Source organism: Homo sapiens, chromosome 7 (assembly GCF_000001405.40).
Source record: "Homo sapiens chromosome 7, GRCh38.p14 Primary Assembly".
Classification (NCBI taxonomy): Eukaryota; Metazoa; Chordata; class Mammalia; order Primates; family Hominidae; genus Homo; species Homo sapiens.
Window position 1 is genome coordinate 151,698,100 of NC_000007.14, and position 12,311 is coordinate 151,710,410.

Sequence of the window (12,311 nt, forward strand, 5' to 3'; positions counted from 1 at the left end):
ACTGGGGCTTCCCACCCACCTCAACCCTGCCTGAGAGTTTCCTCTGGTGCCCAGGAGCTCCCTCGGGAGGAGCGCCGCCAGCTTGGGGAACTAGGGGTTTGGTCCCCACAGGGCCACCTGGGCTAATGCCCCTGGGGGCACATTCAGCCAGCACTTCACCAGGTCCCTTGTGAGGCCTCAGCTGTCCCCACTGTCCCTCTGAGCCTCCTCCTGGTTTTTCCCTTCACTGTCCCATCCCCCACCCCCTCGCCTGTGCTTCCTGGGATCATCGCTGGTATGGTTTAGGTGTTTTGTCCCCTCCGAATCTCATGTTGAAATGCGACCCCCGAGTTGAAGGTGGGCCTGGTGGGAGAAGTCTGGGTCATGGGGGCGAATGTCGTGGTGCTGTCCTCGTGGTAGTGAATGAGTTCTCGCTCTATGAGTTCACACGAGGCCTGGTTGTTTGAAGGAGACTTGCACCTCCTCCCTGTCTCTTGCCCTCTCACCATGTGACACCTCAGCTCCCCCTTTGCCTTCTGCCATGACTGGAAGCTTCCTGAGGCCTCGCCAGGAGCAGACACCAGCACCATGCTTCTCCTACAGCCTACAGAATTGTGAACTGAAATCAACCTCCTTTCTTCATAATTTGCCCAAACTCAGATATTTATAGTGACACAAATGGACTAACACAATCTCCCAAACCAACTCCCTGACCCTTGTCACCAGCTCTGCTTTTGAGGGAATCCACATTACAGGCAGGGGAATGGGTGCAATGGATACCAGCGTCAGCCCCTTGCAGACCTATCCAGATGCAAGGACTTGGCTCTTTGGACCACTCCAAGCCACCCTGAGATGCCACGTGGAACCCTAGGAAAACCCACCTCTGCAAGAAGGTCCTGAAATCAGGTAACTTCTCGCTACAGTGTAAATGACTGATAGGCTCAAACGGGCCGTGGGAGGGTTTCAGGACAGGGTACAGGAAATGACCTGCAAGTCTGCAGAGCCAGTCTGCAAACTCTGGGGAGCACCCCTCAATGCCCTTAGGCCACCTTTCCTTCTCTGACCTCTGTCCCCATCCCTGCCCCAAGTTGTGTCTCTTTGACACCTGGGATGTAAGCTGTGAAAGCTAAACTGCACTGTAGTTGGAGACTCTTGAGAAACCGAATGAACAATATTTCTGAAGATCTCCCACGAAGGTTGCCTCCCTCCCTGCGGTCAGGCTGCCTGCAGGCCTAGTCCCAGCAGATCTCCGGGAGATGCTGACTGCTGGCCGGATGCCTGTGTGGTTACGATCCGGTTACATCTCAGCCCCCTGCTGAGAAAGAGGCGCTAAGGTGGCCCTGGAGCCGTGAATTCACTGGGATTGAGATCATCTCGGCGACTTTATCATGAAGGCCAGCACAGGAGGCCCCTCCTTCCTGTTGGAGATGTTTAGTTTTATGATTAAGAAATGGCAAAGGGCCTTTCAGACTACTTTTGCTTTGAAATAAATCAGTGAATCAATGAGATGAGAAGTATTCACTGGGCACCGGCTGTACAGGGAAGAACTGGAAGTGGGATATGCAGTGCCTGGGCTTGGGGTAACAGAACCCAGCCTACGGGCCAGAAAGAAATGCATGAGCCATTAAGACAGTGCAGGAAGCATCTGATGGAGGACACGTCAATCTTTTCATCAATCATTGAAAGCAGGACGAGGAGGCTGGGACACAGCAAGGTGCTCAGGCCCTCAGAGGAGGCAGTGGGGAGGTTCTTGATATAGGCTGGTCTTTAAGAAGGACTGGGACTAAGATAAACTGGGGTACATAGCGGAGGAAGAAGGGAGTAGAGGGGCAGTGCTCTGCTGCCACAGGCGGCCGCAGATGGGTGCCCCCACATTGCAGAAACAGCCTCAACAGGAGCCTTGTGTACCTGCCAACATTTTGCTGCATACAAGATTAATGAAATAGTTCCACTGAAATCTGGTGATGGAGTTCTCGGCAATGTGGTTTTTGTCCTGTCATCTCATAGGAAACAGGTCTTTGAATAAGTCATTGCATCATTGCAAAATGATGTTTCCTCCCCAACAAGGGAAATCGGGGGTGACGTTTAGCAGCTCCTTCTGCAGCAGTGTTTTAAGTTGAGTGGCTAGAAAAGAAAGAGGCGTATTATACGCCGGGCTGTGTTCTGGGTGCTGGGGACAGTGAACACGACAGAGAAGAGCCCAGCCCTCGTGGAGCTCAGGTTTGTAGACTCTGGCTCCTTGGAGTATGGTCTGAGGACCAGCAGCCTGTTTGTTAGACACGCAGACCTCCAGGCCCCCACCCCAGACCTACGGAGCCTGAATCTGCCCTTTGACAAGACTCTTCAGTGACCGACAGACACGTCAGGGTGAGATACGCGGCTGTAGGCCAGGGGTTCCGAATTTTGGCAAGAATCAGGACCCCCTTTTTAACGCAGGCTTGTGAATCTGTGGATTTCTGAGCCCCACCCTCAGAGATTCAGATTTGGGAACTGGGATGGAGGTCCAGAAATTGGCTTTTCTGATGAGGTTCCAGGTAATGCCAGGCCTGCCGGTCTGGGGCTCACACCCTGAGAGCCACCTGCTGTAGGAGATCATCTGAGTTCTGGGAGAAGACTGGGGCTATCTCCGCCACGCGTCCCAGGCCCTGGAGAAGCTGACGGTAGCTTCCAGGCTTCCCCTTATGTGGCCAGGCCATAGTTCCCTTAACCTCCCACACCCATCCCCTCCACACGGGGGGAGCCTGGCCTTGTGCCGAACCCCAAATAATCCTCAGTGCTTGGCCTGCCCGTTTAGAGGTCAAACATCCATGCAGAACCCATCCAGCCTGCCCGGGAAATCCGAGCAGGGATCACACAGGATGTCCCAGGCATTTCCACACAGGCGAGACCACAGAGCATTATGCAGCCTTGATGTGCCAACTGAGTCATGCAATGTGCTGCACACACGAGCACCCAGCAGACGCCTGTCCTCTCCTCCCCTCAGCTGTCAGGCACAAGAGTCCACCCCCTTCCACCTCCCACTCCTCAGGGGCTGCCCCCCAGGGAAGCCCCACTGGAGCAGGCACCTGACCCAGACCTGAGGCCTGCGTCACTGGGCCGGGGGAGGAGGAGGTCTGAACAGAAACACTAAATTAGCCACCTTCTCCCTCCAGTCTCTACCTGTGCTGTCCAAGAGGCAGCCACTGGCCTCACATAGCTATTTCTTTATAAAATTCAAGTTCAGCTCCTTAGTTGCTGTTATGGGTTGAAATGTGTCTCCCCAAAAAGATACAATGAAAACCTCACCCTGGTACCTGTGCATGTGACCTTAGACATAGGGTCATTGCAGATATAATCAAGTTGAGATGAGGTCATACTAGGGTGGGTCCTCATCCAGTGGCCGGTGTCTTTATAAGGAGGAGGAAACGTGGACACAGATACACAGGGAGATGGAAGCTGAGATTGGAGCGGTGCATCTTTTTAAGCCAAAGAATAAGGATTGCCGGCCGGGCGTGGTGGCTCACACCTGTAATCCCAGCACTTTGGGAGGCCGAGACGGGCAGATCGAGAGGTCAGGAGATGGAGACCATCCTGGCTAACACGGTGAAACCCCATCTCTACTAAAAATACAAAAAATTAGCCGGCCTGGTGGTGGGCACCTGTAGTCCCCAGCTACTCGGGAGGCTGAGGCAGGAGAATGGCGTGAACCCGTGAAGCGGGGGTTGCAGTGAGCCGAGATTGCGCCACTGCACTCCAGCCTGGGCGACAGAGCGAGACTCTGTCTCAAAAAAAAAAAAAAAAGAATAAGGATTGCCGAGAACTGCCAGAGGCCAGGAGGCAGGTGGGGAGCAGGTTCTCCTTCAGGGCCTGCAGTAGAAACCAACCTTCCCACACCTTGACTTCAGCCTTCTGGCCGGCAGAACTGTGAGAGAGTCAGTTTCTGCTGTTTGAAGCCACCCGGTGTGTGGTGCTCTGTTGTGTATGGTAGCCCTGGGTGCTAATCCAGCTGCACTGTCCGTATTTCCAATGCTCAACAGCCAGATGTGGCTGGTGGCTACCAAGATGGACAGCATGGATACAGAACACTTCCCCCTGTGCGGGGAGTTCGATTGGAGGGTGGTGTTCTGCAGAATGCTTTCTAAGAAAGAAGCAAAGGTTAAAAGTTTAATTTTCAGAAAAAGTTGCTGGGGTAGCCCAGTTGCATCTTCCACATCCTTTACATCCCTAGTGCCGGTCCCCCAAAAGAGAGAGGAGGCCTCATCATCAAAGGGACATCAGTAGGCACACACTGACTCTCTTCCCTGACATGAGAAAGTCCACCTAGACATTCAGGCCGGAGCTTTCGTCCATGCTGACAGCAGACGGATGGGGATGCAGGTCCACACTGATCCTGAGAGTCCCACCCACAGAGGGAGCCCCCACGGCAGTCTTGCCAGGTCCCTGCCCACCCGCTTGCCTTCCTTCCCCTATCTCCTCTCCCCATCTGCCAGGAAGCCCATCAGGGCACTGCCAGGTCCGCTCTGTACACAGACAAATGCAACTTTGAAGTTTCACACTCACCAGTTGGCAATGCATTCCTTAGGATGGAGGCATTCATAGTCCCAAGAATCCCAAGTTAAAATACTCTCAGGAGAAACACCAAGTCCTGTTATTGGATAATAAGACTCTAGCATGAATTAATGATCAGAGTGAAGGCCTGGGGGGCACAGCCCCTAGGATAGCAAAGTTTTGGTTGAGGGGATGAGGTGATGGCAAGGAGGGCGAGGACCAGAGCCCAAAGGTCTCTCCTGGGAAGGGTCCAAGTTCAGGACTGTAGGTCTGGAATGCCAGAAGCTGGGGGTGATACCTCTCGCCTTCCAGTTCCGAGAACTGGAGCAAGTAGAGTGAATGTCAAACTGCCAAGGGCACGATTTTGCCTCTAAGCATCCGTCCATGTACTACTCACCTCTGCTCATCTCTCCAGGGACCCAGCCTCTATGCTGGGCTCCCTAACCTGCCTGCCCAGGGAGAAAAGGGAACACCTGGCAGAAGACACCTCTGCCAGCCCTTCAGCCTCTCACATTGCCTGCTGCTCAAATAGCTCATCTTTCTTCAAGGCCATGATGGCTTCTCTGACTCACTCATCAGCGCGCGCGAAGCAAAGAAGGAAAGAGGAAAAGCGCACCTTCTCCGTCACAGTGAATGGCACCCTGCAAAGGACTGCGGGTGCTCTAAGAAAGGAAATCTGTTTTCAGAGCTCCTGCAGCTGCTTTTCAATGTGTCTTCAGTTTATTTTACCAATGAGCAAATAAACTGGTGTTTCCCCTGCAGTGTCTTCTGCCCAGATAGCAGCGATTCTGCTCTCCGCTGTGGCCGGAGCACTGGATGGCTCCGTCAAGCCCTCAGTTGTCTTACTGATGAGAACAACTCAAGGAACTTCTCCCACATCATCTGGCCACTTGGGCTTTAAAAAATGTTTTATGGAGCATAATATAGAAAAGTGCACACATTGAGAGTGTACAGCTTGACAAATTTGCACAAAGTTCATGCATCCATGTAACCAGCACCCAGAGAAGGAAAGGAATGTTACTACCCACATGGCAGCCCCCTTCAATCTCCCTGCCAGGCACCACCTGCCTCCTCAGATAATCATCATCATTCTTTTTCTATTTAAAAAAATTTTTTTGGCTGGGCGCGGTGGCTTATGCCTGTAATCCCAGCACTTTGGGAGGCTGAGGTGAGTGGATCACAAGGTCAGGAGTTTGAGACCAGCCTAACCAACATGGTGAAACCCTGTCTTTACTGGAAAACACACACACACACACACACACACACACACACACACACACACACACACACACACACACACACACAAATTAGCTAGGCATGGTGGCAGGTGCCTGTAATCCCAGCTACTCAGGCGGCTGAGGCAGGAGAATCACTTGAACCTGGGGGGCGGAGGTTGCAGTGAGCCGAGATTGCGCCATTGCACTCCAGCCTGGATGACAGACCGAGACTCTGTCTCAAAAAAAAAAATGTGGGTACATAGTAGGTGTATATATTTATGGGGTACCTGAGCTGTTTTGAAAGAGGCATGCAATGTGAAATAAGCTGGTCACGGGGAATGGGATATCCATCCTCTCAAGCATTTATCCTTTGAGTTACAAACAATCCAATTACACTTTTTAAGTTATTTTAAAATATACAATTAAGTTATTATTCACTACAGTCACCCTACTGTGCTATCAAATAGTAGGTCTTATTCTTTCTAACTAATCTTCATGATTCTAGCATCATATGTTTTGCCTGGCTGTGTATTTTGTGACCCAGAGCTGCACATTTTGTATTCTTTTGCTTCAGGCTTCTCTTGCTCAGTGTTGGTTGTGAGATGCAGCCACACTGCTGCATGTGGCTATAGACTGTTTCTCCACATTGCTGTAGGAGGTTCCATTATGCAAATCTACCATCATGTGTTTACCATTTCGACTGCTGATGGGCATCTGGGCGGCGTCTACTCTGGGGCTATTATAAATGATGCTGTATGAACATTCTATACATATGTTCCCCAGAATTGCTGCTTGCTTTTAGTTAATGTATTTATTCAGCACAGAAGACATTATAGAGAGATGAGGAAAGGGGAGGGGCCCAAGTCTGAGCATTTGTGGAACACCTACAATGTGCTGGGCCTGCGTATCTACTGCAATCCACGCGGCACCTACCGGGTGGGGATTTACAACTCTCTGCCTCCCGGGGCGCCACGGCTTGGAGAAAGAGAGTGAGTATTGCCAAGGGAGGCACAGGGAGAGCGAGGCTGCTCAGCGGTGCGGCAGGTTTTGAACCCAAGTGTAACCACTACAAAGCCTATGATTTAGTGGACAGACCACGTCCCCAAAATGTTAGCGCTTAAAAGTCCTGCCCCTGCTAGCCTCAGCAACGGGAATAAAACAGCCATGAACGAAATGAGGTTTCTTTGGTGTGTCAGATACTATCTTCTATAGGAGACACCACTGAAATTACCAGCCAAATGCTGAACACATTTTTGACGATTAGCAAGTTAATGAGAATTTTTCAACCTTCTGATAAAACGTAAATGCAATTGAGTTATACTTCCAGCTGCTCTGAACAGAGGCCTGGTGTCTGAAACGTACAGGATAAAATGTTCAGGTTATCAAGCTGCTCTGGAAACCCCTCTGGTCTCAGAGTTGGCTGAGAATATCAGGCTCCCTTTTCATTCCTACTGATAAGCCCACTTCCTCTCGAGCAACACCAAGGAAACAAGGGATTATGGTGTTTTTTCTCTTTTCTCAATCGGGTTGTAAAACACACACACAGATGTACATGGATTGGAAATTAATCCAGCCGGGAAAGTTGGCTGGCAAGCACTCGGTCCCAAGCAGGATCACCCCGGTATGCCGAACACGCAGCCGGCATCTGGCTGCAAGCATCTGTCTATCACACACAGCTGGGCGAGGGGACAGCCGACTGTCTGTGACAGACACTCCTTAGGGAGACAGATAGGGGGAGGGCTACGTCTTTTCAGAGAGAAAGAGACGTGAGAGGTAAGCACAGTTTTCCCAAAGGCCCATAAAGAAAGCAATTCTATTTGTCCAGGATCAGCTCACTAAGGTCCTCCTAGAGCAGGGTGTTCGATTGGAGGGTGCTCTGCTCTTCAAATTAATTTCAGTCTCCCTGCTTAACTCTCCAGGCTCTGGGGTCCCCTCCTAGAGCAAGAGTGTTGACTCCTCCTTACACTGCCCTCTGCAGGTTGGTGGCACTTCCTTGTAGAAATCTCATAAGTGGCCCTTCTTAGCCGATCTCATCTCACCCGCTGCGTTTTATTTGACATTCCTACACATGTTTTATGATTTCACATCCCCCCGCCCCCCATCTGTGCACCTGCAACTCCCAAGTTCACTGTTGTTGAGGGTAGAACTTCAAGCCAGGAGCCTGGGTCTCTTGAGTCTTGCTCATCAGGGTTAAGATGAAACGACAGGTATGTGAAACCATGTTGTACCCTGCAAAGCATGTTGAAAATGCTTCCCGGAGTAAAAGGTTAGGTAACACAACTTCAGTGTGACTCAGCACAGCAGATATGCAGCACAGAGAAGACCCTGGGACATGCCCAAGGCCACACAGCTGGCTGGTGTCAGTCAGAGCTCCAGCCAAGCCTTGAAGTCTGGCTCTGGAGACCAAGCTCCTGACTGCTGTCTCCTCCTGCCTCTTTGCCCTGTAGCACCAAAGGAGAAATTAATCTTTCCTCCTAGGTGGTAATGACTAGTTGCAATCAAGGCTGCAGAGAGACCCACTCATAGCCCAGGACTGGGAGGTCAGGCTCCTGCCTCGCCCTGCCTTTAACAAGTCAAATTCTCCAAGACATCCAACTCATCTCCCAGACTGTGAAACTAGGGTCCCAAAAGGGTCAGGACTATCTCCCCACCTGGGACAGTGCCTTGCTGTAAAGATTAAGTCCCAGGAAGACACCGAGATCTCCCACCACGAGGCTTCTTGCAGAAAGCCAGAGTACGAGCAACCAGCACCCTGACCTGCCTCCTGCTTTGAGCAGGTGTGCACTGGAAATGCAAATGATGGTTTTTATAGAATTTCAAGCTGAAATCTTCTGACTTTCTTCCAAGGAATGTATTCAAAGGAAAGATGCAAACCCATTTTGGCTGTCTCCCAGACTAGGCGTTAGCTGTGGCAGTAACAGCAGCTTCAGCAAACGCTCAACACAGCCTGAGTCTAGAATACGTTCCGGCAATGGCTTCTGCTTCTCCAACCTGAGCCGGAGGCCACGGTGGTTCCCCATGCATCTCAGCCCAATTGGAGCCACCTGGCCTGGCCAGGGACTAGATGGAGTAGGGCACTCAAATACACCCTCCAGAGGCGTCTACCATGAGGGAAGAGGGTGCCTCTGGCCCAACCCAACGTCAGCCTCAAATGTTCGGACCTGCCTGCAGTCATGCAGAGGAGGCCTTCCCCCTCGGCTGCGTCCTGGGTGCCCCAGCCTTACTGAGCTCAGCCCTGTCTCAGTTTCAGAAGGAAATGCTCACAGGGGACCACAAGTCCCCAGGACATTTAACACCTGGTCAGAGGACAAGTCCAAGCACCTGGATAGCAACTGGACCATGTCATGAAACCCAGTCCTCCTCCCTCCGACGCTGCCCAAACTTGAGCTGCCGTTGTCCAGGCTAGACGGCATCCTGGCAGCAGGAGAATGAACAGCAGTGTCCCATTCATTCAACAGGTGAGCAGGGGACCTCAATAAGGCAAGTCCCTGATAAGGCAGTCCCCAGAATGGAGTGTGGAGCAGGGTAGCTGAGGTGTGGCTGCAAATTCCTAGCAGGTCCCTCCTACTAAACGGTGGTCGGAGAAGCTGCTATATAATGACCGTTTAGTGACATTCCTAGAAATGTTTCTTCCCGCCCTTGAGCCTGCATTTCAGCTTCCAGAGCTCCCCAAACCTCGGGAGGGTCACACTGTTGGCTCTGGGGGAGAGGAATGGGAATTTGAAGGCCAGAGGCTCTCTGGCTCGCACCCATCACCCGCTCTCCTCTCTGGTGGGGTGCTCCCGAAGGTGACTCAGTTCTCCAAGCCAAATGCAGCCATCTGATGTCACCACCTCATCTCCAGAAGGAGTCCTGAGGGAGAACTGGGTCCTCACCACTGCTGCAGTGGCAAACAAAGGACACAAAAATAATTGAGTGGCTGGTCAAGAACCAAGTTAAACCGGCCAGCCAGGGAGCTGGGCCTACGTCAGTAGGGGGCTCAGAATAGCCACAGAGCCCGTGATGTGCCCAACTCACCCCGGGGCCACCGGGGCCAAAGAAAGCCCAGGCATGAGCCAGCACCGGCCCCAAGGCAGGAAAGCCCAATAGCGAACATGGTGGACATCTACCCAGAGAACTCTCGGCCCAACCCAGACGGGGCAGGGGAGGACGCACAGAGAAAACATGCTGACTGTCCACCTGCAAAGGCCCCCGGACATGACCACTGGGTGTGAACTGGCCCCCGCTGTCCACAAGGGGGGCGCTGTCCCCGTTGAAAGCTGGGGAAATGGAAGTAGGAAGAGATGAAGGGGCTTGCCCAGCAACATTTGGCTGACCTGGACCTGAACCCAGGGTTGTCAGGCTCCAAACCTCCAATTGCTTCTTACCCTAAACTCTCCATGCAGCCAGCTACTGTGAGGTATTGTGAAAGGAAAGTCGGATGAATCTTATTATTTCTTTTTTGGCTTACTAGACTCTGAAAGGCCGCATTAGTGAACTCGGGACTCTAATAACTCCTGGTGTCAGGCCTTGCCCTCAGAATGATCGTCCAGTGGGGCACTGTGTGGCCCCTCAAACCCCCATGCCAACCTGGCACCTGCCAGCCATCGAAGAGAATAGAAGCAACAAAAAATAAAAATAGTAAATGTACCAGTATCTTCTATGCAGCGTAAAGATGGTTTTCACTCTACAGCCTTCTCTGTTTAGCAAAGGAATGCATTTGTAACGAAGGATTTTCAGCCACCGAGCCAGCCAGGTAAAGGGAATTTGGAGCCAGAGGGTCCTCATGGCATGCCTGTAGGGTCCTGGCAAGTGAGGATACACTGTCCACGTGGAGGGCTTTCCTGTCGTACCCCGTGTTAGCCATGTAATGTGGGCAGTGACCAGAGGGGATGACAAAGGTAAAATGTCCAGCAATTCACAGGGAACTTGAGCACAGCAAAGTCACTGGGTAAGTGCAGTGGCCGGCAGCTGCCTCTCTGGAGTGCCCTTGGTGAGGCAGGGCCTTTTAAGTTCCATGTGAGCCAACAGCCTGGTGCTGCCACCTGACACTAAACCCCAGCACAGGTTCAGCTCGGGGCACCCATGGACAGAGCTGAAAGGAAGCCACCAGGGCACGCCACTGCTCTCGTCAGAGCCCAGCAGACCAGCTACCTAGTTCTGTGAGAATACCAGAAGCAGAGGGGCCGGAAACCATGACACTGTGTGACACTGTGTGATGGGCGATGGTGACACTGTGACACTGTCACAGTGCATGACATTGAGTGACGTGTGTGACACTGACACGTGATATTGAGTGATATGACATTTTATGATGGTATGTGATATTGTGACAATGAACAATGTGTGAACTGTATGACATTGAGTGACACTGTGACACCGATGTATGAACTGAATGACATTGTGTGACACAGTGTTGTGACACTGACATTGTGTGAAATCGATTTGTGACAATGTGTGACATTGTGTGACGATGAGGGATGTATGGTACTGTATGACATTGACACTGACAATGACGTGTGACATTGAGTGACGTGTGACAATGATATGCAATGTGTGACATTGATGTATACTATATGACAGTGACATTGAGTGATGTGATATTGAGTGCTGTTTGTGACTGTGTGACCCTGCATGACACTTGGTGATGTTGAGTGATGACATTGAGTGATGTGACATTCTGTGACATTATGTGTCTGTGACATGAGATTGACACTGAGTGACCTGTGTGACATGGTGACATTGAGTGACTTTGATATTTGTGACATTCTGTAACATTGAGTGTGACAGTGACATGTGATACTGAATGACGAGTGACACTGACACATGTGACTGTCAGTGACATGATATATGTGACACTGAATGACACATGTGACATTGTGTGACACACACATAACACTGACACTGACAAGTGACATTGCGTGACACTGAGTGAAGTGTGAGACATTGTGATATTGGATGTTTCTTACACTGTGACACGGAGTGATGTGAAGTGATATGTGTAACATTGACAGTGATGTGTGATGCTGTGAGTGATGTGTGACATTGAGTGACAGTGACGAGTGACGTGAGACTGACATTGAGTGATGTGACAGTGACAGTGACATGTGATATTGTGACACTGAGTGACGTGTGACACTGAGTGCCTGGGGGACTCAATGGCCACTTCGCCTTCCAGAGGGCTTTCAGGAGGAAAAGCATTTACAGTAGAGCCCCACGGAGCACTCTCGAGTCTAGAAGGGTGGCCGGAGCCCAGTGAATAGAAACTGCACTGGTGTCTTCAGCTCAGTTCCAAGTCGGAGCAGCCACCTCAGCAGAAGGGCCGGCCTTTGGGAGCCGCCTCTCCCCTGAGCTGAGGCTTGGATGCACCAGCAGAGAGATGGCAGAGGCAGGTGGAGACTCAGGAGGCACCTCTCACTTCAGGATTGAAACCAGAACTCTAAGTCCGGGACTTTCTGCCACCCGTGCCCCGCCCAGCCTGTCTCTATCTCAGTGCGTGGCACCCCTGTCCCCCAGCTGCCGAGGCTTCGCTCTCGCCCCCCGCCCTGAGGCAGCACACCAAGTGGTCACCCACCAGTCTCCCCACCACAAAAGACTCCCCTCCCCTTT

At 51.7% G+C, this 12,311-nt stretch overlaps 1 protein-coding gene across 23 annotated transcripts in view, besides 1 other annotated feature; it reads right to left on the bottom strand.

Moving 5' to 3' along the window:
• PRKAG2 (protein kinase AMP-activated non-catalytic subunit gamma 2) overlaps window positions 1-12,311 on the bottom strand; it is a 320,989-nt gene that overhangs the window by 141,973 nt on the left and 166,705 nt on the right. The window lies entirely within an intron of this gene.
• Window positions 6,473-6,664: a silencer, noted in NCBI's record as "fragment chr7:151401658-151401849 (GRCh37/hg19 assembly coordinates)". NCBI's record gives its function as "represses an EF-1alpha promoter that drives an FKBP-Casp9 reporter gene in an ReSE screen in K562 erythroleukemia cells {active_cell/tissue: K562}" and the evidence as "EXISTENCE:reporter gene assay evidence [ECO:0000049][PMID:32094911]".